The 26614-nt window shown below is 38.7% G+C and overlaps 1 protein-coding gene across 4 annotated transcripts in view; it reads right to left on the minus strand.

The window, feature by feature from the left end:
- Positions 1 to 26614, minus strand: part of ALG5 (ALG5 dolichyl-phosphate beta-glucosyltransferase) — a 49630-nt gene that overhangs the window by 2917 nt on the left and 20099 nt on the right. For 3 of the 4 annotated variants that reach the window (NM_013338.5, XM_047430283.1, NM_001142364.1), the window contains 2 exons: positions 19323 to 19382; positions 12921 to 13072 (listed from right to left, as the gene is read on the minus strand). In NM_013338.5, the coding sequence (NP_037470.1) occupies positions 12921 to 13072; positions 19323 to 19382 (212 nt within the window). Of the gene's footprint in view, positions 1 to 12920; positions 13073 to 15017; positions 15154 to 19322; positions 19383 to 26614 lie in introns of those variants that run through there. The other variant, XR_007063678.1, reaches the window with a different exon arrangement.

A 26614-nucleotide genomic window follows, 5' to 3' on the forward strand; every position in this document is an offset into this window, starting at 1 on the left:
ATCTCTACCTTGGCATGTTTTAAAGAAGCTTACATGGCAGATATAAAGCTTATACCATAAATCTGAAGATCAGATTCACAGAAATCAAATAATTCAAAGCTGAGTAGTTCAGAAGTTTCAAGTCAAATAATAATTTAGAATATCATTGCATAATATTGTATCTCTATTACAACTCAGAAACTCACAGAGGTAAAACTAGCCTCATGGGTTCCAAGAAAAAATTTAATCCTGGAAAATTTCAAGATTGATGGTTTTCAATCCTAACCTTAACTGGACTAGCTCAAGGTAAAGAACTGACATTTTCAACTGATTCAGACAGCTGATAAAACAAAACTCTGAGATGCTCTAGTTGAGACTGTTTTACATTACTTTAGAGTTGGTTGCCTATTTTCTTCTACCATCAGAGGATCCAGATTACTTTTCTAATAGTGTCCCCAGGGCCTTCCTTGTCTTTTCTGTTCCCCTTCCCTGTGGTGTCCTGCACAATATAATACTGGCAACTATTGAAAGTAAAAAGCTACTTTGGACTAGTCTGAAATACTCTTTGGGTATAATTAATACATACATAGGAATCTGATATATTGTCTTACTTGTCCTAATATATACTGTTAAAACCATTTCCAGTCTAAATCTCCAGTGTATCCTTCCTTCCACTTACGAAAGGTCTTTCTTAAAGCCTCTTTTCAGTCAGTGCCTTGGCTTAGGTCAAACCTGCTTTCCTTAAAGGTTCTGAATCCTGACTCATAAGTTTTCCTGGATTCTGCTTACAAAATTTCTCTGAACTAGTTGCTTCTCTCACTGGTATTAAAGCTCAGGAAGAAAAGCACTACTACCTGTTAAATCTTCTTCATCGTCATTGAAACTGTCTAAAGTCCTTGACTGTTTTGCCTTCATCCATGAGTCAGTCCCCACTTTCTAGGCTGCACAGAGCACAGTTCAAACTTCTAGGGCCTGGTGTAAAACATTATTAATACAGACAAGAAAATGCCTAAAGTCCACTTATATTTGATTTCTCCAATCCCAGACAACTTGAATTTGGGAGATTTTTTGGTTTTTTGCCACAATACCATAATCATCCATTAGGTAAATAGTTTAAATTCCAAGTATTATGATAAAACCACTTACAAAAGTGGGTTGTATTTTAAAACTTTCGTCCCCTAGAATTGTGATACTTATGAAAAAAGAAATAATTTCAATATTAAGCCTGGTGCTTTACCCTTAACTTTCCTTTTAACACAAAAACAAAATATTAGCTAGTGGGCTGAGTTAGTTCTAATGATACTTGATAACCTGAAAAAGATTATTATATATTATTTCTAAGGATATCAGTATATAGCTAGTGACTTATCAAATACACAAAACAATTGAGTAAAAAAGAGTGGGGTGGTTAACTGAAATCACCTTATATTAAAAAAAAAATCCTAGACCAAAAGGGTTTTTCGGTTTGTTTTAAACAGGGTCTTACTCTGTCATCCAGGCTGGAATGCAGTGGCGCAATCAGGGCTCACTGCAGCCTCAACCTCCCTGGACTCAGGTGATCCTCCCACCTTTGCCTCCTGAACATCTGGGAGCATAGGCCCAGATATTCCTTACTAGTCCTATAATTTTATCTTCTTCTTTTCTAGTTTTGTTCTTTTGAGATTTCCTCAATTTTATTATCTAGCCCTCTTTTTGAATTTTCATCTCTGTGCCACCATGCCTGGTTAATTTTTGTATTTTTTGTAGAGAAGAGGTTTCATTATGTATCCCAGGTCTTGAACTCCTGGGCTTAAATGATCCGCCTGGCTTGACCTCCCAAAGTCCTGAGATTACAGGCTTGAGCCACTGTGTCTGACCCAAAATTAAATTATGTCTTTCTCCTCTTAAACATTTTAGAAGACATTTATTACACATACAAAAAAATGCAGCTCATATCATCATATTATAAGTGCCCAGTCTGTTACCTAAGCAAACATTTTAACTAAAATACCAAGTACTTCTATACAGAGCCTTATGTTATTAGGGGGAAACAGTATAAGGGTTATTCTCCAACTAAGATGCCTTCATTTGTTTATGCAAATATGGGTTGGGCTGAGCCACTGTGTTTTCTTTTCTTACTCAGTTCCTGGTACAGCTGTTATCTCACTAACAGATTCCTAAAGGACAAAAAATATGCTGAGACCCTGTTAAACCCACCAGATGGACATGAACCCCACTGCTGCCTCCTGCAGCCCTATCAAAATTAACACAACAATATGGAATAAACATATAAGAACAAAGATGGGAGGAAATGATAATAAAAATAAAAAAAACCTTGGAAGTTGTAGGGAACATGGACAGGACAGTGGGAGAAGGGTGCCACAGAGCACCCCAGAGGCTCAGGCATTGAAGGCCTCAACTGATGTCTTCAGGTGAAGACACAGGTGGGGCTGCAAGTAGGACTCACTGAACATCTAAGATTTTCCTTCCCTTCATGCCTTTTCTCTGTTGGTTCTGTGAATGCTAACAGCCAGGCTCACAGCTCCTAGGCAGGAGATTGAAGGACTCTACTTTCATGAAAATGACCTGTCCAAAAGACAATGCCAGTTGGGACTTTCTCACACGTAGCTCTGCTGGTTTAACCTGTAGCGAAATTTACCAATCAGAGGCTCTGCGCATGGACACAGCTTCTACTGAGTGTTTTAGTGCCATACTATAGACATGTGAAGAATGAGTGTTAAAAAGAAACACAAAATCAGAGGCAACAGAAACAATGCAGGTAAAGAAAATGACAAAGTTTTAAATAAGATATTCAGAGGTAGTGGAAGACACTGTAGTCATGCAACAAGAATAGGTTTTTTAAAAAGTTAATACTGAAAAACAAAAAAAAAGAGTTCTAGGAAATTACAATTTTGATAGCAGAGATAAAAATTCAAAAAGAAGATTGGATAATAAAATTGAGGAAATCTCAAAAGATCAAAACTAGAAAAGAAGAGAGAAGATAAAATTACAGGACTAGTAAGGAGGTTCCACATCTGTTTGTAAGAGAGCAGAGAAAATGAACAGAGATTGTGAAAAAAAAAAAAAAAAAAAAAAAAAAGATTAAGAAACATTTCTCAGAACTAAAGGACATGACTTTTCAATAGATGGTGTTGGGAAAACTGGATATCCCTATGCAGAAGGACGAAACTGGACCCTTATATCAAAAAACTAAAACAAAAACAAACCTCAACATGGATTAAAGACTTACACACTTACACGTAAGACCTGAAACTGTAAAACTACTAGAAGAAAACATATGGAAAAAACTAAATGACACTGGTCTGGGCCATGTGTTTTTTATTAGATTGGATCCCAAAAGCATAGGCAATAAAAGCAAAAACAGACAAATGGGATTACATCAAACTAAAAAGCTTCTGCACAACAAAAGAAATACTAACAGACTGTACAGACAACCTATGGATTGGGAGAAAATATCTGTAGGCCATATATCTGATAAGGGGCTAACATCACAAATATACAAGGAACTCAACTCCATAGAAAGAAAACAATTAATTTGATTAAAAAATGGGCAAGGGACCTGAATAGACATTTCTCAAAAGATGACATACAGATGGCCAAGAGATATATGAAAAAATGCTCAGCATCACTAATCATTAAGGAAATGCAAATTAAAGCCCCTGTCAGAATGGCCATTATAAAAAAGATGACACAACAAGCACTGGTGAGGAGGTGGAGAAGTGGGAAACCTTGTACACTGTTGGTGAGAATGTAAATTAGTATAGTGATTATGGGAAAGTGTATGGAGGTCCCTCAAAAAACTAAAAACAGAATTACCATATGGTCCAGAAATCTCACTTTTGAGTATTTATCCAAAAGATTTGAAATCAGTATGTTGAGGAGATAACTGCACTCTCATGTTCACTGCAGCGCTGTTCACAACAGCCAAGTTATCCAATCAACCTAAGGGTCTGTCAACAGAAAAACTGGGAAGGAAAATGTGGTATATGTACACAATGAAATATTATTCAGCCTTGGGCAACCTCCTTTGGGTCCCCTCCCCTTGTATGGGAACTCTGTTTTCACTCTAATACATCTTGCAACTGCACACTCCTCTGGTCCGTGTTTGTTACGGCTCGAGCTGAGCTTTAAGAGGTGGCAGTCTTACACTGCTGGGATCATCAGAAAGGAAAGAAAAGAGAAATAGAAGGGAACCGCCCAGCAGATATTGAAGCCAAAAAAGCCAAAAGAGCTACAAGGCGGGACCCTCCATTAGAAATGCTTATAGAAGGACCCCTAGTATGGGGTAATCTCCTCCAGGAAACGAAGCCCCAGTACTAAGCAGAAGAAATAGAATGAGGCACCTCATGAGGACATAGTTTCCTCCCCTCAGGATGGCTAGCCACCGAAGAAGGAAAAATACTTTTGCCTGCAGCTAACCAATGGAAATTACTTAAAACCCTTCACCAGACCTTTCACTTAGGCATTGATAGCACCCATCAGATGGCCAAATCGTTATTTACTGGACCAGGACTTTTCAAAACTATCAAGCAGATAGTCAGGGCCTGTGAAGTGTGCCAAAGAAATAATCCCCTGCCTTATCGCCAAGCTCCTTCAGGAGAACAAAGAACAGGCCATTACCAGGAGAACACTGGCAACTAGATTTTACCCACATGCCCAAATCTCAGGGATTTCAGTATCTACTAGTCTGGGTAGATACTCTCACTGGTTGGGCGGAGGCCTTCCCTTGTAGGACAGAAAAGGCCCAAGAGGCAATAAAGGCACTAATTCATGAAATAATTCCCAGATTCGGACTTCCCTGAGGCTTACAGAGTGACAATGGCCCCGCTTTCAAGGCTGCGGTAACCCAGGAAGTATCCCAGGCGTTAGGCATACAATATCACTTACACTGCGCCTGGAGGCCACAATCCTCAGGAAGAGTCGAGAAAATGAACGAAACACTCAAATGACATCTAAAAAAGCTAACCCAAGAAACCCATCTTGCATGGCCTGCTCTGTTGCCTACAGCCTTACTAGGAATCCGAAACTCTCCCCAAAAAGCGGGACTTAGCCCATATGAAATGCTGTATAGACAGCCACTCCTAACCAATGACCTTGTGCTTGACCAAGAGACGGCCAAGTTAGTTGCAGACATCACCTCCTTAGCCAAATATCAACAAGTTCTTAAAACATTACAGGAAGCCTGTCCCCGAGAAGAGGGAAAGGAACTATTCCACCCTGGAGACATGGTATTAGTCAAGTCCCTTCCCTCTAATTCCGCATCCCTAGATACATCCTGGGAAGGACTCTATCCAGTCCTTTTATCTACCCCAACCGCGTTTAAAGTGGCTGGTGTGGAGTCTTGGATACATCACACTTGAGTCAAACCCTGGATACTGCCAAAGGAAACCGAAAATCCAGGAGACAACGCTAGCTATTCCTGTGAACCTCTAGAGGATCTGTGCCTGCTCTTTAAGCGACAACCGTGAGGAAAGTAACTAGAATCGCAGATCCCCAATCCCCATGGCCTTCCCTTGTCATATTTTCCTCCTTACTGTTCTCTTACCCCCTTTCACTCTCACCGCACCCCCTCCATGCCGCTGTACCACCACTAGCTCTCCTTACCAAGAGCTTCTATGGAGAATGTGGCTTCCTGGAAATACTGATGCCCCAATGTATAGGAGTTTTTCTAAAGGAAACCCCACTTTCACTGCCCACACCCATATGCCCCTGCACTTCAGGCCATACATTTCAATCCCTGTATTTTTAACCTCCTTGTTAAGTTTGTCTCTTCCAGAATTGAAGCTGTAAAACTACAAGTGGTTCTTCAAATGGAGCCCCAGATGCAGTGCATGACTAAGATCTACCATGGACCCCTGGACTGGCCTGCTAGCCCATGCTCCGATGTTGATGGCATCGAAGGCACCCCTCCAGAGGAAATCTCAACTGCATGACCCCTACTACGCCCCAATTCAGCAGGAAGCGGTTAGAGCGGTGGTCTCCCCAGCAGCACTTGGGTTTTCCTGTTGAGAGTGGGAACTGAGAGACAGGACTAGCTGGATTTCCTAGGCCGACTAAGAATTCCTTAGCCTAGCTGGGAAAGGTGACCGCATCTACCTTTAAACATGGGGCTTGTAACTCAGCTCACACCCAACCAATCAGGTTGTAAAGAGGGCTCACTGAAATACAAATTAGGCTAAAGCAGGAGGTAAAGAAATAGTCAAATCATATATCGCCTGAGAGCACAGGGGGAGGGACAATGATCGGGATTATAAACCCAGGCATTCGAGCAGGAAGTGGCAACCCCCTTTGGGTCCCCTCCCATTGTATGGGAGCTCTGTTTTCACTCTATTAAATCTTGCAACTGCAAACAAAATAAAATAAAAAAAAAAAGAAATATTATTCAGCCTTAAAAAAGAAATTCTGTCATTTGTGACATGGATGGAATTGGAGAATATTATGCTAAGTTATGCCAAGTGAAATAAGCATCAGATCCAGAAAGACAAATGTTGCATATCCTCTCACTTTTATGTGGAATCTAAAACCATCAAACACATAGAGGCAGAGAGTAGAATGGTGGTTTCCTGAGGCTGGGTGGGGAGATGGGGAGATGATGGTCAAAGGGTACAAAGCCTCAGACAGGGGGAATAAGGTTTTTTTTTGGAGATCTATTATACAATGTAGTGATTATAGTTAATAATAATGTGTTGTACATTTCAAAATTGCTAAGATAGTAAATTTCAAATGTTCCCACCACAAAAAAAGGATGTACATTAATTAGCTTGATTTAATTATGCTACATTGTATTCATAAATCATAATATCACTTTGTATCCTAAACATATGCAACTATAATTTGTCAATTTACAAAAAATTAGAAGGACCTACTGAATACTCAACAAAATGCATGAAAAAGAACTACATTAAGGCCTAGAATTATAATATTTCAAAACACTGTGGAGAAAAAGCTTCCAAAAGGGGGTGGAAACAACATGCGAAGAGTCAAGATTCAGAATTGGACTCCTTCACAGAAGTATGGAGTGCCAAAGACAATACAGGAATGTTTCCAGAATTCTGAGGAAAAATTTCCATTTTGAATGACTATAATCCTTTCTCTACCTAACTATAAAACAAATGTGAGGGTAGAATCAATTTTTTTTTCACATGCAAGGAATCAAAAAGTTTCTTTCTCATATTTTTAGAAAGTTAATAGAGGAATGTGCTTTACTAACATGGGGGTATAAATAAGGAAATGGAGATAGAGGATGGAGCAAGCTGTATCACAGGCCAGAGAGCAAGCAGAAAGACATGAGCTGACTGAGATGTCTCCAGCAAAAATGAAGAAATGCAGAATCTGTGTTTAAACACAGTAAGGGATAATTATACTCTTGAGAGCCTGAACATGAGTAAGTAACAGATCCATAGTAAAGTCAAGCAAACAAAAACCCCAAACATTTATTACCTTCGGGAAAACAAAAAGTAGTACAAGAAAGGTAATATAATCATGCTGCACTCAAATGTGAATTATTTTCACACAGCTATGACTATCAATACTGACAAAAAATAATTATTTTAAAACTGTATTTGGAGTTTACGTGTGGAGGGTATACAGAACTTTAAGAGAACTTTAGTTCTTAGCATCGATTTCCTCTTTTGGAAATTAATATCTAAAACTGAACAACTGAGAAATAGCTATGCAGACCCATTATTTTGAACACAAATGCAAATACCACAAAGAAATAGCAAAAAACAGTTGAAAGTGGCCACAGCTATGGAGTGGAAATTGGGGCAAGGAATTACTATTCTAAGCCTATCAAACTAACTATTTAATATATAAAATTATAACACTGATTAAAAATAAAAAGTATTCATTGAAGCAAAGTTCATTTCAAAGAAAAAAACATATATATATTATTATTGAGACAGGGTCTCGTTCTATCACCCAGGCTGGAGTGCAGTGGTGCAATCAAGTGCTCACTGCAGCCTTGACCTCAGGGCTCAAGCTATCCTCCTGCCTCAGCCTCCTGAGTAGGTGGGACTATGGGCATGTGCCACCACGCCTAGCTAATAATTTGCTTTTTTTTTTTTTTTAGATGGAGTCTTGCCTGCAATCTCCACCTCCCGGGTTCAAGTGATTCTTCTGCCTCAGTGCCCTGAGTAGCTAGGATTACAGGTGCCCACCACCATGCCCAGTTAATTTTTGTATTTTTTTTTGTAGTGATAGGGTTCTGCCATGTTGCCCAGGCTTGTCTTGAACTCCTGGGCCCAAATGATCTGCCCAACTCAGCCTCCCAAAGAGCTAGGATTATAGGTGTGAACCACTACACCTGGCCCAAGTATTTTAACTTCCATAAATGGAAAGAATTTAGGTGAAGTACAGCTCTGAAGATGAAGCTATATACATAGTTGGTTCTCCATATCCATGGGTTCCACATTCGCAAATTCAACCAATCATGGACTGAAAATATTAAAAAATAAACAGTAGAAAACCACAATAAAAAATAATACAAATAAAATATACAAGCAGAGTGCGGTGGCTCATGCCTGTAATCTCAGCACTTTGGGAGGCTGAGGTGGGAGGATCACGTGAGCTCAGGATTTTGGGACCAGCCTGGCAATGTGGCAAACTCTGTCTCTACAAAAAAATACACAAATTAGCTGGGCGTGATGGCATGCACCTGTAGTCCCAGCTACTCAGCAGGCTGAGGTGGGAGGATCGCCTAAGGCCAGAAGGCAGAGGCTGCAGTGAGCCATGTTCACTCCAGCCTGAGTGACATGAGACCCTGTCTCCAAAACACTAACAACAAAAAACAAACACATACTATTTACATAGCACTTACCTTGTATGAGGTATAAGTAACCTAGAGATGATTTAAAGTATATGAGAGTATGTGCATAGGTTATATGCAAAGAGTACACCATTTTATAGCAAAGACTTGAGCATCTGTACAGATTTTGGTATCTGTGGGTGATGTTCCTAGAATTCATTTACTGTGGATACCAAGAGACAACTGTATATATATGTATCTGAATTTGAAGGCCAAATTTACATTACTTAAAATTTTTTAATCTATTTTTGTTTTTAACATACCCATTTAATTTATATTAATATTTGAATATATATACTTAACATACCTATACTCAACTCTGCAGTTCTGAATCCAAAGAGATACTGAGAGTCTTTTTTTGAGACAGAGTTTCACTCTGTCACCCAGACTGGAGTGCAGTGGCGTGATCTCGGCTCACTGCAACCTCTGCCTCCTGGGTTCAAGCAATTCTCCTGCCTCGGCCTCCCAAGTAGCTGGGATTACAGGTGCCTACCACCACGCTTGGCTAATTTTTAAAAATGTATTTTTAGTAAAGACGAGGTTTCACCATTTTGGCCAGGCTGGTCTTGAACTCCTGACCTCAAGTGATCCACCCGCTTCGGCCTCCCAAAGTGCTGGGATTACAGGCGTGAGCCACTACGCCCAGCCGATACCAAAAGTCTTAATTTTAGGTATACTCCTTTACAGATTTCTAGTACCTAGAAACTCTATTTGATTTCGATTTCTTGAAAGTTCTGAGAAAAATTTCAATGAATCCTTAAGAAAAAATAGTCAAATGTCAAAGGTGACATTTGGAAATAAGGCATAGATATACAACTTGGTTTCTGTAACTTATATTGTTCTTTAGTCTTGATTTAAAGTGCAGGAACAAAGATGTTTAAATAAAAACCACTGATGACGTATTATTGTGGTGAAGGGTATACTGCTCATTAAGCTGATACATGTATACTTGGTGGTTCTCCTTTAGAGGCACCAAATAAACATAATGTACCCTAAAGAAAAATGTGAGCAGTTAAAATTTTAAGTGAGGTGAATCTTGTTTTTTCCCTAATAAAATTAAAACAAAAAACAAACCGAGACAGGTTTCACCATTGTTGCCCATGCTGGTTTCAAATTCCTGGACTCAAGCAATCCACCTGCCTCAGCCTCCCAAAGTGCTAGGATGACCACTGTAAGCCACCATCCCCAGCCACTAAGTGAGGTCAATCTTATGTCAATTAACACAAAATAAATAAAAGGCTTGCATGTAACATTAACACTAAAAAAAGAAAAAAACCCCATTAATGTTCTTTAACTTAACCCCACAAGAACTGCTGTCTAATACAACAGCCCCTCAGCACATGAGGATACTGAGCACTTGAAATGTGGCTAGTCTGAATTGAGATGTGCTGTAAATTTGAATATATAGTACAAAGAAAATAATGTAAAATAGTTCAACTTTTTTCATACTGATTGCATGGTGATATGACAATATCTTGGAAATATATTGGATAACAAGTAAATCTGATCAGCTTTTTACTTTTTTTAAGAGACAGGATTTACCCTGTTGCCCAGGCTAAAGTACAGTGGTGCAATCATAGCTCACTGCAGCCTAAACTGGGCTTATGAGATCCTCCTGCCTCAGTATCCTGAGTGGCTGGGACTACAGGCGTGCACACCACCACACCAAGCTAATTAAAAAAATTTTTTTTTCTGGAGACAGGGTCTTGCTATGTTTTCCAGGGTGGTCTTTAACTCCCGGCCTCAAGTGATCCTCCCCACCTTGGCCTCCCAAAGAACTGGGATTACAGGCATGAGCCATCTTTTTACTTTTTAAATGTGGCTAATAGAAAATTTGAAATTACATATATGCCTTGCCTCTTGTCTCATATTTCTATTAAACAATGCTGCCCTAGAACAATCCTGACAGGGAAGCTTCATGATTTTTAAGTTATCAATCCTAACCTTTTATATTTCAACAAAAATGAAAGATCCTCAACAACGAAAAATAGTATTCTCAATTTCTAAATTCTTCCTTTCAAACCACAAAGAACCTGCATCTCTGACCCTAGTTCTGGAGCAATAGCTGACTGAAAAATAGCTAATGCAGACAGAGGGCTTTACTTCTAGAGTCGTTTCTTAAATTAGATTTTCTGATTTCGAAGTCTATTAACTATGAGTTTATTTTATTTTTCAACATAATAAAAACACATATCTAAATTTGACAACTAATGTAGACTACTTAAAATGTTTTAATCTAGAAAAACAAGATTTTAAAAAGTCTGAATGATAATTCTGAAAATACATTTTTTAAAGTAGTATTTTGGGGGTTATATGGCATATATTTCTAGGAAGACAACAGGTCTTTGAAAACAGATGCACAAAAATTGTAGAGAGTATAAAAATGGACATATACTGGCATAATCATGCAGATACCCAACATGAACAGGATTCACACAGAACCCATGACTAAGTATTAGTTCTTTCAACAGTATTTACTGGGTACCTACTATGTGCTGGGCATGATATTAGATAGTGGGATATACTAATAAGTAAAATTAAATGTGACTCTTGCTCTCATGGAGAAAGATTATGCTTTAATCGAGAAAAAGAAACATTAAGTAATTACACAAATATAAGAAAAAACTACAAATGTCATAGGTGCTATGAATACAGCACATGGCACTGCAACAGGATATAATTAGGGGCACCCGAGCTAATTATATTATCTTTAGAGAGTGAGGGCAGGCTACCCTAAGGAAGATCTGAAGGAGAAGGTGAGAAGGGGCGTGGTTAGAAAAGAAAAGAGTCCGCATGTGGAGACACAGGTGGGGCCAGACTAAAGACCATGGGAAGCCCATGAAGGAATATAAGCAGAAGAGGTGCATATGATTGATCACACTTAAGTTTGCAAAGACCTTGTGGGCTACAGCATGGTAGTATGGAGAAGGATGGTGTTCTGGATGGCGGTGGTAGAGATGGAGAGAAATGGAGGAACACAAAAGCTAAAATCAACAGGCCCTGTCATGGATTGGATATATGCATGTGGAGAATGTCAGGGCTGATGTCAGGGTTTCAGCTTCTGTACAACAGTGCTAGCCACCTGTATCTCCAGTATATTTCAAAAGAGAGCTCAGGAGTATCAAATGCTGCTGATGGGTTAAGTGTGACAAGTGGTCATTTAACATGACCACTGGCTTCAATGACATAGAGGTGGCTAGATGTTAAGATGAAGTAGACTGGGTGCAGTGGCTCACGTCTGTAATCGCAGCACTTTGGGTGGATCACCTGAGGTCAGGAGTTCAAGACCAGCCTGGCCAACATGGTGAAACCTCATCTCTACTAAAAATACAAAAACTAGCTGGGTGTGGTAGCGCCCACCTGTAATCCCAGCTACTTGGGAGGCTGAGGCAGGAGAATCACTTGAACGCGGGAGGCGGAGGTTGCAGTGAGCTGAAATCCTGCCATTGTACTCCATCCTGGGCAACAAGAGCGAAACTCAAAAAAAAAAAAAAATGATGAGGCATGGAAGAAAATCCATATGAAGAAGGTGGGGTGAGGAGTGAGTGGGAAGCAAGAAAACAAAGCCAGTGAATATAAAACACTTTTTCAAGAGAAGGTTGCTTGTGAAGGAGACAGGGCTAGAGCTGGAAGGGCACAGCAGGGTCAATGGAAAGGGTTCTGGGAAAGATGTGATGGAAGGGAAAAGGCTGAATACACAAGAGATGAAATACATGGACAGGATTAGGTTTTGACAAGGTGGAAGGAGATGTAGAGGTCAAAAGATCGGTCTTAGGAAAGACACCTTATCTTCCGTAGAAGGAAGAAAAGAGAAAATGGGTGCCCTATTCTGTTTTGATGTTTCTGAGCTTTTTCTTTTTTCTTCAAAGGAAAAAAAATGTTTTCAGGCCACTCAATTTCTACTGTCTACAATTAAGGTGAACACACATAACTTTATACCATATTGTTGGGTTTGTGTATTTTCAAAATAAGATCCAACTCAGGAAAAGTATAAAGGCAAGATCAAGTTTACATACATTATTGTCAATTTTGTTTAAATCTACATGTTCATTATAAATATACAGGGCTGTTTCTCATTACCTAGAAGATGGCTGGGTCATAAGACAGACTGGATACATTCCAGTCAGAAACCTACCATCGTTCAACGTGTAGAGATGAAAACGTCCGTGAAGCTGCTTCTCGAGTAAATAATTTGAACCCACACTGTGTGTCCCTGATTCCTTTGACACAAAGGAACCACACCAGAAAGTGGAACCCATACATGAGAAGAGTACGGAAGTAAGAACGCTGAAAACAAAGACAAAATATAAATGACTTTTCCATTCATCTGTAAAGGAGACACTGAAAACACCTGGCTGTAGACAACTGTATTTTAATATTTAATTGACTGGTAGATCTTACATAAGAACACCACTGTTCCATGAGCTTCACCAACAAAGTATATTAAAGAAACAGCAAGAATGCCTACTGCTTGGAGCAGAGTAGAGGCACTAGGAAGCAGTTACTCATTTCCTGGAGGTTGAGTCAGACAAGCGGCCAGGGCTTTAGCCTACCAGGAGAAACAGGTTTGGGGCTGCTGCTGTGAGCAAGGAGAACGTCTTGTTTACTTACATATTTTATGCTGCTTTGCCCCACATGTATTTCAGTTTCAAAAAAGCTGTCAGTTTCCAGGATGTATTGACAAAACAAAGCACAGATATAAGCCTGCAGTTGATACTTAACTAATGAGAATATTGACAGAAGATGTATAGCAGAGTATCATGAAGGTTATGGACTAGAAAGGAGTTTGAAACAAACACCTGGTCTTTCTAAGCATGCCAGAGATCTAATTAAATACATTTAAAATATTGAGTTCTTTAATACTTTGGATATTAAGATTAAGTAGGTTTTAATCCCATCTGAAGTTTCACTACTGTTACTGATGATTAATTTTATTAGTAGTAACAGAATATTCCATTATTCATAAAACATAGCACATTTTAAAACATAAGAACATAAGATTATTATCACTGGATTCCAGACTTTCACATTTAAGATTTAGTAAAAGATAGGATCTTTCTAAAAAATAAAATAACAAAATTTTTTTTAGAGACAGAGACGCCTTCTGTTGTCCAGGCTAGAGTCCAGTGGTGTGGTCATGGTTCACTGCAGCCTCAAATTCCTGGGATCAAGTGATCCTTCTGCCTCAACCTACAGAGCAGCTGGGATCACAGGCGTGTGCCACTATACCCAGCTTCTTTAAGACACGATCTTTTAAAATGTTCCTTAGTTAAGGCAATAGACTCAAGTAATGATGCGTTACTTACATACATAAGCAACCTATTAAGAGTCTATTAGAACATTTAATATCTCATACTATGGGATAAAGGTCCCTTCCTCCTTTTGGCTTTTGCTTTTCAAAATTATAATTTTTAGTATCGTTCTTCCTTTGCATGGCTTTTTCCATCAACACCAAACAGAACCACAGTGGAACAGAGTAACAAAGAAAAAGCACCAAATCAGGCGAGGTGCGGTGGCTCACACCTGTAATCCCAGCACTCTGGGAGGCCGAGGCAGGTGGATTGCTTGAGGTCAGGGGTTCAAGACCAGCCTGCCCAACATGGCGAAACCCCATCTCTACTAAAAATACAAAAATTAGCCAGGCATGGTGGCACACGCCTGTAGTCCCAGCTACTTAGGAGGCTGAGGCAGAAGAATCGCTTGAACTTGGGAGGCACAGGTTGCAATGAGCCGAGATGGCGCCACTGTACCCCAGCCTGGGTGACAGAGTGAGACTCCAACTCAAAAAAAAAAAAAAAGAAAAAAAGAAAAGAAAAGAAAAAGCACCAAACTAGGAGGCCTATATTGGAATCCTGGCTCCGTTACTAATTAGCAGGGTGACCTTCAACAAGTTACTTCAGCCCTCTAAGTCCATTTCCTGATAAAATGAGAATAATGCCTACCTCACAAAGTTATTATAAGGATTAAATGAGATTATTTTAAAGAATATAGCGAAGTGTTTGGCACAGAAAATAACAGGAACTCAATAATGTTCTTCATACAGGAAGAAAGCTTGAAAGCTTACTTTACTCTCCTGACCACAATTTTACTTATGTATTAAATAGGGCAGGAAGGAAAGGAAGAATAAAATACTTATCTATATGGTATGTAAAACAAACTTTTAAAAATGATCTAGCACTTCTCATTTATCATCTAGAATCATTAGTTATGGGTTGATGTAAATATGTCTTACCTCTCTAAGTAGATAGGGCAGAAACCTCATCTTAAAATACTTTAGGAATCTCACAACAGCTTGCTCAGTGCCTTCCATACAAAATACTTCCAATAAATACTGGTTGACTGATTAAACCTCCAAAAGAGCACTTATGCTTAGGAAAGGAACAAATAGAAATTGAAAGATAGAAAAATAAAAATTAAAGGTAGAAAAACAATACCTATAAATTATTCTCCTTGAGTGATTTTTAATGTGATTTGAGTGAGCTTATTTGTTCGCAAATAAAACTATTCATGACTGCTCTGGCTTGGATGTTAATAACAGGATTTTTGTTTGCTTTAGGATAATGGCTATTTTTTAAAAAGCAGAAAAATGTAGAGTTCACATGAAGACCTTAAGTTATTTGATTTCTAACATATTTAAAAGCTTAACAAGGTTAGTCACAAACAAGATAATCTTGTTTTTGTTTTTAGAACTTTGCAAAATATCTTAAAATTTAGAAGATACCTAAAATATAGGATAGACTTATTTAGTTAAGTGAAGCTACTAAAAGAGAGAAGGCTTATATGATCTTCTGAAATGGCCATTTAAAACATTAAGGAAAACAATTTTCACTGTTTCAGTGTTAACGCTAGTATCTTCAATGTTTATAAAATGTAAACAAGAAATTAATTCAGGTGAAATTTAAAGGTGACTTCTAATTTCATTAACTTAAAATAAGAAGTTCAAAGAAGTCCCAGGACTTAAGCAAAGACTCTTTAAACAAAAACTAAAAACATTAAGTAACCACTAATGGATTCTATTTTTGAATCCTTTTAAAATGATAAATTCAAGAATAGCCAGACCATATATAAACATTACCGTTATACAGAACACATGGGAATGTAAGCACTTTTAAGGATGATACAAGACTCTATCAGGGCAGTGTCATGTTTGTCTTCCAAGGGAGCAGTAAAAGAGGTGGTAGAATAATTGAGAAATGTAGAAAAATATCAAGGAAAGATGTTTCTGAACATTAGGCAATAAGCTACCGAAGTTGTCATTTGCTATCTTGATTAGTTCTTTTATAATTTTCTCATTGTCCACAGATTGATCACCATGCAGGGGTTTATTACTGACAGCACACGAAGGGAAATGGAAAGCCATGCTGCAGTTTTCTAGACATGAGGCGGATGCATGTCTTGTGCCTTCTTGGAGACAACCTTTTGTGAGACAGCTATGATTCTATAAGAATAAGCTGGACTTGAACAAGCCTACTGAGCAGTAGTTGTCATAGCATCTGCAGCGGACAACCAATGATCTCTAGTGAGTATCAAAGGTTATCCCTTCTTTCTATAGAATGGCAGCCAATTCTGTGGGAATCAAGAACACTAAACCAAACACTTGGTTTTAGAGCTGAAAGAATGGATGGATGGAGACAAGATGAATTATAAATATGTGGTTCCTGCGATTGATCCCTTGATACCTGGCTAAGAGCAGTACTAGGTAAAAGATTTAGACCATAGCATAAGTCTCATTTAAATACTAGTGTATTTCTAGGAAAAATTCAGAGTTTTCAACCAATGCAAGTTCTAAGTGAAAAGAATTTACACCATGAAAAACAAAACCAAAACACATGGCTCCTTTCTACAGCCACCACCAACAAATACAAGAACTATCTCTTGCCTATATTACTCACTGGCTCCTAAGTGTATTTGGCTATTTTTCCAAACTATCTTTTTTCCTTCACCAAGTAGATTATCCTTTCTCATCTCATTAATATATTTTAAAAAAAAAAAGAAAGAAAAAAAGTACTTAAAAAACCATTAAATTAGTATTGATCTATTTTCATTAGCTGTTTTAGTGTGCAAAAACAAATTTTTATTTATTTTATTTATTTATTTATTTATTTTTTTGAGGAGGAGGTGTCTTACTCTGTCGCCCAGGCTGGAGTGCAGTGGCCTGATCTCAGCTCACCTGCAACCTCTGCCTCCCGGGTTCACGTGATTCTCCTGCCTCAGTCTCCCAAGTAGCTGGGATTACAGGTGGGCGCCACCACACCCAGCTAGTTTTTGTATTTTTAGTAGAGATGAGGTTTCACCATGTTGGCCAGGCTGGTCTTGAACTCCTGACCTCAGGTGATCCGCCTGCCTCGGCCTCTCAAAGTGCTGGGATTACAGGTGTGAGCCACTGTGTCCAGCCTATTTGTTATTTCAACACAGATAACTGTATTTATAATATCATACTATTTTTTACAAACAACCTAATATTTCAGGTTTTATCCCATGTTATTAAATAGTCTCCATTATCATCAGCTTTACTGGCTGCACATTTCATCTAGGGCTATAGCTGTATTTCCTATTGTGGGAATTTAGTATTTAATAGTTTCTACTACAATTTTATATATATACTATTTTATAATTATACATATATATACTATTTTATAATTATACACACATATATATAAAATGTGCTGAAGATCTTAGACACATACTTTTCCTTTTCTTATCCCCCGTGCGTTGTTAAACTGATGAAGCAGGATTAATTCTAAGCTCTCTTCCCATTTTAAATATCTAGGAGTGTGCTATTCTCTATGGTTAACAGATTAACCTTTTTCAAACATCAGTGAGAATCTCTAGGATACATAGAATACTAGACTAGGTGCTAGTAAAATAATTACTTCTAAAAAAAAGAGAAGAGGCCAGGCGTGGTGGCTGACACCTGTAATCCCAGCACTTTGGGAGGCCAAGGAGGGCAGATGATGAGGTCAGGAGTTCGAGACCAAATGGTGAAACTGCCTCTACTAAAAATACAAAAATTAGCTGGGTGTGGTGGCGCACGCCTGTAATCCCAGCTACTCGGGAAGCTGAGGCAGGAGAATCGCTTGAATCCGGGAGGCAGAGGTTGCAGTAAGCCGAGATTGCGCCACTGCACTCCAACTTGGGTGACAGAGTTAGACTCTGTCTCATAAAAACAAAAAAAACAAACAAAAAAAGAAGGCCGGGCGTGGTGGCTCATGCCTGTAATCCCAGCACTTTGGGAGGCCAAGGCAGGTGGATCACCTAAGGTCAGGAGTTTGAGACCAGCTTGGCCAACATGGTGAAACCTCTTCTACTAAAACTACAAAAATTAGCCAGGCATGATGGCGTGTACCTGTAATCTCAGCTTCTTGGGAGACTGAGGCAGAAGAATTGCTTGAACCCGGGAGGCAGAGGTTGCAGTGAGCCAAGATTGCGCCACTGCACTGCATCCTGGGTGACAGAGCGAGACTCTGTCTCAAAAATAAATAAACAAAAAATAAAAAGAGAGTCTGGGTTTTTGTACTTCAATATAATCCTTAAAAGGTTTTTGTCACTCTGTCATCAATATACCTTTTTTAAAAATTAAAATTTCTACATATCTCTCTTCCGAATCATTGGGGGAAAGGTTCAACCTTTTATTCTACTGGTTCTCAAAGCCTCATGTGCGTAAGAGGGACCTGGGAAATTGTTACTCTAGTTTTTCTAGCATAACCTACAAAATGAAGAATTGAACATCTTTAGTGACATTTTTACACCCTAAAAGGGCAGTTGCAAACTTGTGAAATTTTAAGGTATAGTGATAGTGTTTTTCTAAGAGGAATGAGGTTAAAAAAAAATTTTTAACTGAATAAAATTCAAAATAAAGCACTTAACTGTGCCAATGTTAGAAAAAAATAAAGGCAAGTTGATTGGTTAAAAAATGCATCATTTAGGCTGGGCGCAGTAGCTCACACCTTTAATCCTAGTACTTTGGGAGGCTGAGGCAGGCGGATTACCTGAGCTCAGGAGTTCAAGACCAGGCTGGGCAACACAGTGAAACCCTGTCTCTACCAAAATACAAAATCATAGCCAGGTGTGGCGGTGTGCGCCTGTAGTCCCAGCTACTTGTGAGGCTGAGGCAGGAGAACTGCTTGAACCCAGGAAGTGGAGGTTGCCCAGTGAGCCAAGATCGCACCACTGCACTCCAGCCTGGGCAACAGAGGGAGACTCCGTCTCCAAAAAAAAAAAAAAAAAAAAAGCGTAATTTAAAGTTTGTTTTATTACTGAACAGATTCTCTTTATCTTAAAAATATATTAAAAAGAACTGCTTCCATCCTAAGGCAAAGCGAAGTCCACATCTTCTTGTATATGCTTAAAAAAAAATCAATTCTAAAATGTGCCAATCCTTCATAACCTTTCCACAATTAAAACATTAATTTCTTTTGAAAGGAACCTCATGTTTAAGAGATTAGACATAAAAGCCAGTTTCTTGCCAGATATATATATAAAAAAAGAAATAAAAGCCAATTAATTGGCTGTCCCATGCCAATTAATGAAGTCTCACCTGAGCAATTGATTCTTTTTCTAAATGAGCTCGAGATCCACATGCTATAGCCATTTGATTCTGAGGGAAAAAGCAGAGATAGTTTTTCAATATTTAAATATCACTAATAAAAATATTTATTTTCAATGAGAATATCTCATTTTTAGAAACTGATTTTAAAAAAGTTGACATTAAAAATCTTTTAAAGGTTTATTGAAAAGTTCAGAATATGTACAACTTTGAGAAGCCTAATCATACTAAGAGGACACTAAATTTTGCTTAAATAGAGCTAAATATAAGGGGCATGCGTTATGTTAAAATTCGTAACTTTAAATGATATTTTCTGTGTGAAAATACTATATTATTTGAGAGAAAAATTAGTGGTATGAGAAAGAAAAGGGTTATCTGTAGATGACATAATTATATACCTTGAAAATCAAAGAATAGCAACTGAAAAACTACATTAGAAACAAAGAATTTTAAAAGATGAGTAGTCACAAAATGAATATATATACAAAACTTTAGATGTCACATGTACGAACAATAATCACAAGATATAATCGAAGCATTTATAACACCAATAAAAATGAAAAATCTAGAAATAAAGTTTATAAGAAAGGTAGAAAGTTTAGACAAGATCTAAATAAAGGAAACATGTAAATGCTAACAAGGAAAACAAAAGATTTAAACACACAGAAGGTCTTGTCATGATATATGAGAGGATATAGTAACAGCATTAAAAAGTCAATGCTTCTGGCCGGGCGTGGTGGCTCACGCCTGTAATCGCAGCACTTTGGGAGGCCAAGGAGGGCAGATCACGAGGTCAGGAGATCGAGATCATCCTGGCTAACACAGCGAAACCCCGTCTCTACTAAAAATTCACAAAATTAGCTGGGCGTGGTGGCGGGCGCCTGTAATCCCAGCTACTCGGGAGGCTGAGGCAGGAGAATGGCGTGAACCCAGGAGGCAGAGCTTGCAGTGAGCCGAGATCACACCACTGTGCTCCAGCCTGGGAGACAGAGCAAGACTCCGTCTCAAAAAAAAAAAAAAAAAATCAATGCTTCCTAACTTAAAACCAATAAAAATGCCAAAATGATTTTTCACTGAACTGGACAAGCTGATTTTAGACTTTCCATCAAAAAAAAAAAAAAAGGTCCTTGTTAGTATAGTGGTGAGAAAATAAAAAAATTTTTAAAAGAGAAGCAAAAATAATCAAGAAAAAAGCCAGGAAAATTCAAGAGTAAAGGATGACTCATCACAAAAATTTAAAAAATATATGATAAAGCTACAATAATTCAAACTAAGGTGCTGGAATGTGAATAGACAAATCCATGGACAATTCCATGGACAGAATGAAAAGGCCAGGAAACACATACACAAAGCCATATGAGTACTTAGAATATGATAAAGATGACCTTTTAAATCAGTGGGAAAAAGACGAACTGACAAATGGTGTGGGACATCGTGGTAGCCACTTGGAAACCAAATTAAGTTGGACTTGAGCTTCTTAACTGAATAATGGGACATAGTCCAGATACATCAAATATTTAAATGTAAAACATCAGAAATCATTTTGTAAATAATCTGAAGGAAGGTACAAGTACAAAAAACCAGAAGACTGATCCATTTGTTAGTAACATTTTAAAGAATTGTATGATAAAATAACAAAAAATCCAACCATATTCAAAACTAAAAGACAAAAAAACTGGGGGAAAATATTGGCAATTTATACTACAGACAAAAGGTTAATTTCCAAAAAGCATAAAGTGCATTTACTATTTTAAAAAGTACCCAAAAATACAGTTGGAAAAGCAGCAGACTTGAAACAGAGTACACAAAAGAGGAAGTGAAAATAGCTCTTGAACAACTGAAAAGATCCTCAATTACACTTATTCCAAGAGTAATGCGAATAAAACCTATAATTTTTTACCATACTGTGCCCGCACACTCTCTAGCAACAGCAATTTGAAACGTTATCAAAATTACAAATATACATATAACCTGACCCAGCAATTCCAACAATTCTTCCGACAAATATACTTGCATATGTGTAAAATGACTTTCATAGAGTTTAATCATTTCAGTATTTGAAGTAGCAAACCTGCATCTCCATCCGAAGGGACTGGCTATGAAGATGTGAAAGAATGAGGAAGGTCTTTATGCATAAATATAGTGCAATCTCCAAGACACATTGTTAAGTAGAAACAAGAGAACACTGTATAGTACCACACTTTGCAATTTAAAAAAGAATACATACACAGTATGCATCTTCCCAATAAAAGAAATGAGTAACACTAGTTATATCTGAGGGTAACTGAGAGATGAAAAGTAGAGCTAGTTTCACTGTATATCTTTCTTATACCATTTGAATTTTGAATGACTAACAAAAATAAATTTAAAAGTGCTCATTATAAAAAATTTGCAAGTATATAAATTTACATATATAAATGATAATTAAAGAGAAAACTCATGAATTATCTTACTACCTAAAAGCAGCCACTGTTTTAAACTGTGTATATTTCTTTGTATTCTTTTTTTCTCTACATTACAAAAAAACATAGCTCAAATTTACTCATGTATGTCATGTTCTTTTTCAACAAAAATTTATTCATGTTAAAGTTTATTGTTTTTATACTTTTTATTATGGGTATTTTCAAACATACGCAAAACTAGAAACAAGGGGAAAATGAAGCACCACATACCTACTACCTAGCTTCAATAATTAGCAACACATTGCCAATCTTGTTCTATGTAAAGCCCCCCCACCACCATCCCACCCAACCTGGGATTATTTTGAAAAAAATTCTAGATATCATATGTTACAAATTCATATAATGTCAATCATAGTACCACTATGACACCTAAAACACCAATAATTCCTTAATACCATCAGACATACATATTTCAAATTTGCCCAATTCTCTCTTAAATGTTTTCAGTTTGTTTGAATGAATGGCCAAATAAAATCCATACAGGGCCAGGCGCAGTGGCTCACGCCTGTAATCCCAGCACTTTGGGTGGCCGAGGCAGGCACATCACAAGATCAAGATATCCAGATCATCCTGGCCTACATGGTGAAACCCTGTCTCTACTAAAAATACAAAAATTAGCTGGGCGTGGTGGCATGCGCCTGTAGTCCCAGCCACTTGGGAGGTTGCGGCAGGAGAATTGCTTGAACTCAGGAGGCGGAGGGTGCAGTGAGCCAAGATTGCACCATTGCATCCCAGCCTGGGCAACAAGAGTAAAACTCTGTCTAAAAAAACAAACCACCACCACCAAAAAAATCCATACAAATCAGTTGGTATTTCTTTTATCTGTGGGTTCTCCCGACCTCTTTAAATTTTTTTCTTGTAACCTGAAGAAACCACATTGTTTGCTCTACAGTTTCCTAGGTTTTAGATGTTGCTGATTGCACCCCCATGGTGACATTTAACATGTTCTCCTGTCCCCTGTACTTCCTCTAAACTGGTAGTTAGATTCAGAGGCTTGATAAGATTCAAGTTTGACTACCTTTCAAGAATTTGTCATAATAGTGCTGCATGGTAGTTTTTCTTTTTCTTGTCAATTGTAAGGGCTATACAATATTTTAATGTACAGATTTACCATTACTTTGACTATTTGCCTATTTGTTGTCCTTTCTAATTTTATGTTATAGAAAGGCAACTGAAAGAACATCTTTGAATATAAAACTCTTATCTGTATTTTAGATTTCCTTCTTTGGAGTCATAGATGTAGAATACTAAGTTAAAAGTCTGAATGTTTTTTAATGCATATGGGCCAAATTTTCCTTTAAAAGGTTCTTTACCTGTAATCCAAGTACTTTGGGAGGCCGAAGTGGGCACATCACTTGAGACCAGGCGTTTGAGACCAACCTTGGCAACATAGCGAAACCCCATCTCTATTAAAAATACAAAAATTGGCCAGGCATGGTAGCGTGCCCCTGTAGTCCCAGCTACTCGGGAGGCCAAGGCAGGAACCACTGCACTCCAGCCTGGGCAACAGAGCAGTAACTTGTCTCAAAAAAAAAAAAACAAAACAAAACATGTTACTTACATTCCCATTAACTGGTATGATATTGACTATTAAATCAAATTCTTGTCAGTTCTGGTTATTCTATCTTTATTATTAATAAAAAAATAAAACGTTTGGGGGATGTTTTAGCTATCCATATTTTCTTTAAAGAATTTTCTAGGCTGGGCACGGTAGCTTATGCCTGTAATCCTAGCACTTTGGGAGGCTGAGGTGGGCAGATCACCTGAGGTCAGGAGTTCAAGACCCGTCTGGCCAACATGGTGAAACCATTTCTACTAAAAATACAAAAACTAGCCAGGAGTGGTGGTGCATGCCTGTAATCCCAGCTACTCAGGAGGCTGAGGCAGGAAACTGCTTGAATCTGGGAGGTGGAGGTTGCAGTGAGACAAGATTGCGCCATTGCACTCCATCTTCAGTGACAGAGCAAGACTCTGTCTCAAAAAAAAAAAAAAAAAAAAAAAAAGAAAAGAATTTTCTTAGCTGGGCACGGTGGTTCATGGCTATAATCCCAGCACTTTGGGAGGCCAAGGCAGGCAGATCTCCTGAGGTCAGGAGTTCAAGACTAGCCTGGCCAACATGGCAAAACCTCATTTCTACTAAAAATACATAAATTAGCCGGCTGTGGTTGCAAGCGCCTGTAGTCCCAGCTACTTGGGAGGCTGAGGCAGGAGAATCGCTTGAACCTGGGAGGCAGAGGTTGCGGTGAGCCGAGATCGCACCACTGCACTCCAGCCTGGGCAACAGACCGAGACTCTGTCTCAGGAAAAAAAAAAATTGTGTTATATACTTTGCCTACTATTTAGTAGTAAAATAATTTATTCCCTTGTTTTTCTGGTAGAGGTACTTTGTGCAGAAAGGGAGAGAATGATTTTCTTAGAGAGGAAGCATGTTAAAAGTTCAAATAGCATATGGCAAATCAGTTTTAACTTTAAACTTGAAAAGAGCAACAACACTATTGAGTAATACATAAAAAAGAACATACTTCTCCATTTCAAAGATTCATGAGTAGAGTTAAAATACCATGTAATTTAACTAAAAACAAATCAAAATCCAAAAAACTTTCTTTTACAAATCTCGTTTTTATCTCAGCATAAGTCCCCAAGAGCTTTTAAGAGTTTTGTGTATCTGAAGAATTCTGATGTAAGAGCTGAATCCCTGATACCAATCTCACTATCAGGTAGAATTAATCTAAACATTTTTTCAAAAAGTTAGCTGTTCTTCAGAAATGAAAGATATCTTTGTTTTAAAAACTGCCCATGTTAGAAAATGTCTGTAGACATGGAGTCTCTTTCTTTTAAACCTCTTTTGGAGTATAACTGAATTTCCCATGGTTTTTTAAAATGAGTATTTAAGTTACTATGACAGTTGGCTTTTAATAAGTGAGGCAGGTGTGGTGGCATGTGCCTGTAGTCCTAGCCACTAGGGAGGCTGAGGTAAGAGGATTGTGGCTGAGTCATGATGGCACCATTGCACCCCAGCCTGGGCAACAGAAGGAGATCCCAACTCATTTAAAAAAACAAAAAAATAGGTGCAGTGGCTCATGCCTATACTCCCAGCACTTTGGGAGGCTGAGGCAGGGGAATCGCTTGAGGCCATGAGTTCAAGACCAGCCTGGCCAACATGGTGAAACCCCGTCTCTACTAAAAATACAAAAATCAGCCAGGCATGGTGGCACACACCTGTATTCCCAGCTACTTGGGAGGCTAAGGCATGAGAATTGCTTGAACTCGGGAAGTGTAGGTTGCAGTGAGCTGAGATCATGCTACTGCACTCTAGCCTGGGCGACAGAGTGAGACTGTCTCCAAAAAAAAAAAAAAAAAAAAAAAACAAAAACGGTGGTAAGAAGTAAAGTATATATTATCTTCTAGCAAGAAATGCTAAATCAATCAAAATCTTTCTCAGTATTTTTTTTTTTTTTTAATGGAATCTCACTCTGTTGCCCAGGCTGGAGTACAGTGGCAAGATCTCGGCTCATTGCAACAACCACTTCCTGGGTTCAAGCGATTCTCTTGCCTCAGCCTCCCGAGTAGCTGCGATTACAGGCACGTGGCACCATGCCCGGCTAATTTTTTGTATTTTTAGTAGAGACGGGGTTTCACCATGTTAGCCAGGATGGTCTCCATCTCCTGACCTCATGATCCACCCGCCTCGGCCTCCCAAAGTGCTGGGATTATAGGCATGAGTCACTGCGCCCCACCTTTGTTTTTTTTTTTTTTTTGAGACGGAATCTCACTCCGTCACCCAGGCTGGAGTGCAGTGGCACAATCTCAGCTCACTGCAACCTCCGCCTTCTGGCTTCAAGAGATTCTCCTATCTCAGCTCCCAAGTAGCTGGGATTATGGGCACGTGCCACCACACCCAGCTAATTTTTATATTTTCAGTAGAGATGGGGTTCTGCCACGTTGGCCAGGCTGGTCTCAAACTCCTGACCTCGGGTGATCCGCATGCCTCAGTCTCCTGAAATGCTGGGATTACAGGCGTGAGCCACTGTGCCCGGTCCTCAGTACTTTTTAAGTTAAATATTTTCACACAATTTACTGGAGAAAAGGAATAGATAGAGATATAGCTAATTTATATTAACAATCATAAACAGTAACAGAATTGGATCTGATGAAAAAATATCAAGCACAAAGATGAATGTTAGCCGGGCGTGGTGGCTCACGCCTGTAATCCCAGCATTTTGGGAGGCCCAGGTGAGAGGATCACTTGAGGTCAGGAGTTCAAGACCAGCCCTGGCCACCATGGTGAGACCCCACCTCTACTAAAAATACAAAAAAAGTTAGCCGGGCCTGGTGGTGGATGCCTGTAATCCCAGCTGTTTGGGAGGCTGAGGCAGGAGAATCACTTGAACCCAGGAGGCAGAGGCTGCAGTGAGCTGAGATTGTGCCACTGCACTCCAGCCTGGGTGACAGAGTGAGATTTGGTCTCAATTAAAAAAAAAAAAAGGAAAAAAAAAGAAAAAAAGATGAATGTTAATAATTACAGGTACTGGTTGAGTGCTGAACACATGCTAAACACCTGACATACATTTCCTTATTTATTTATTAATTATGGAGTCTTGCTCTGTAGCTCAGGCTGGAGTGCAGTGGCACGATCTTGGCTCGCTGCAACCTCCACCTCTTGGGCTCAAGTTATTCTCCTGCTTCGGCCTCCTGAGTAGCTGGGACTACAGGTGTGTGCCACCATGCATGGCTAAGTTTTTGTATTTTTAGTAGAGATGGGGTTTTACCATGTTGGCCAGGCTGGTCTCAAACGCCTGTCCTCAGGTTCCCAAAGTGCTG

This window comes from Homo sapiens, chromosome 13 (assembly GCF_000001405.40).
Source record: "Homo sapiens chromosome 13, GRCh38.p14 Primary Assembly".
Lineage (NCBI taxonomy): Eukaryota > Metazoa > Chordata > Mammalia > Primates > Hominidae > Homo > Homo sapiens.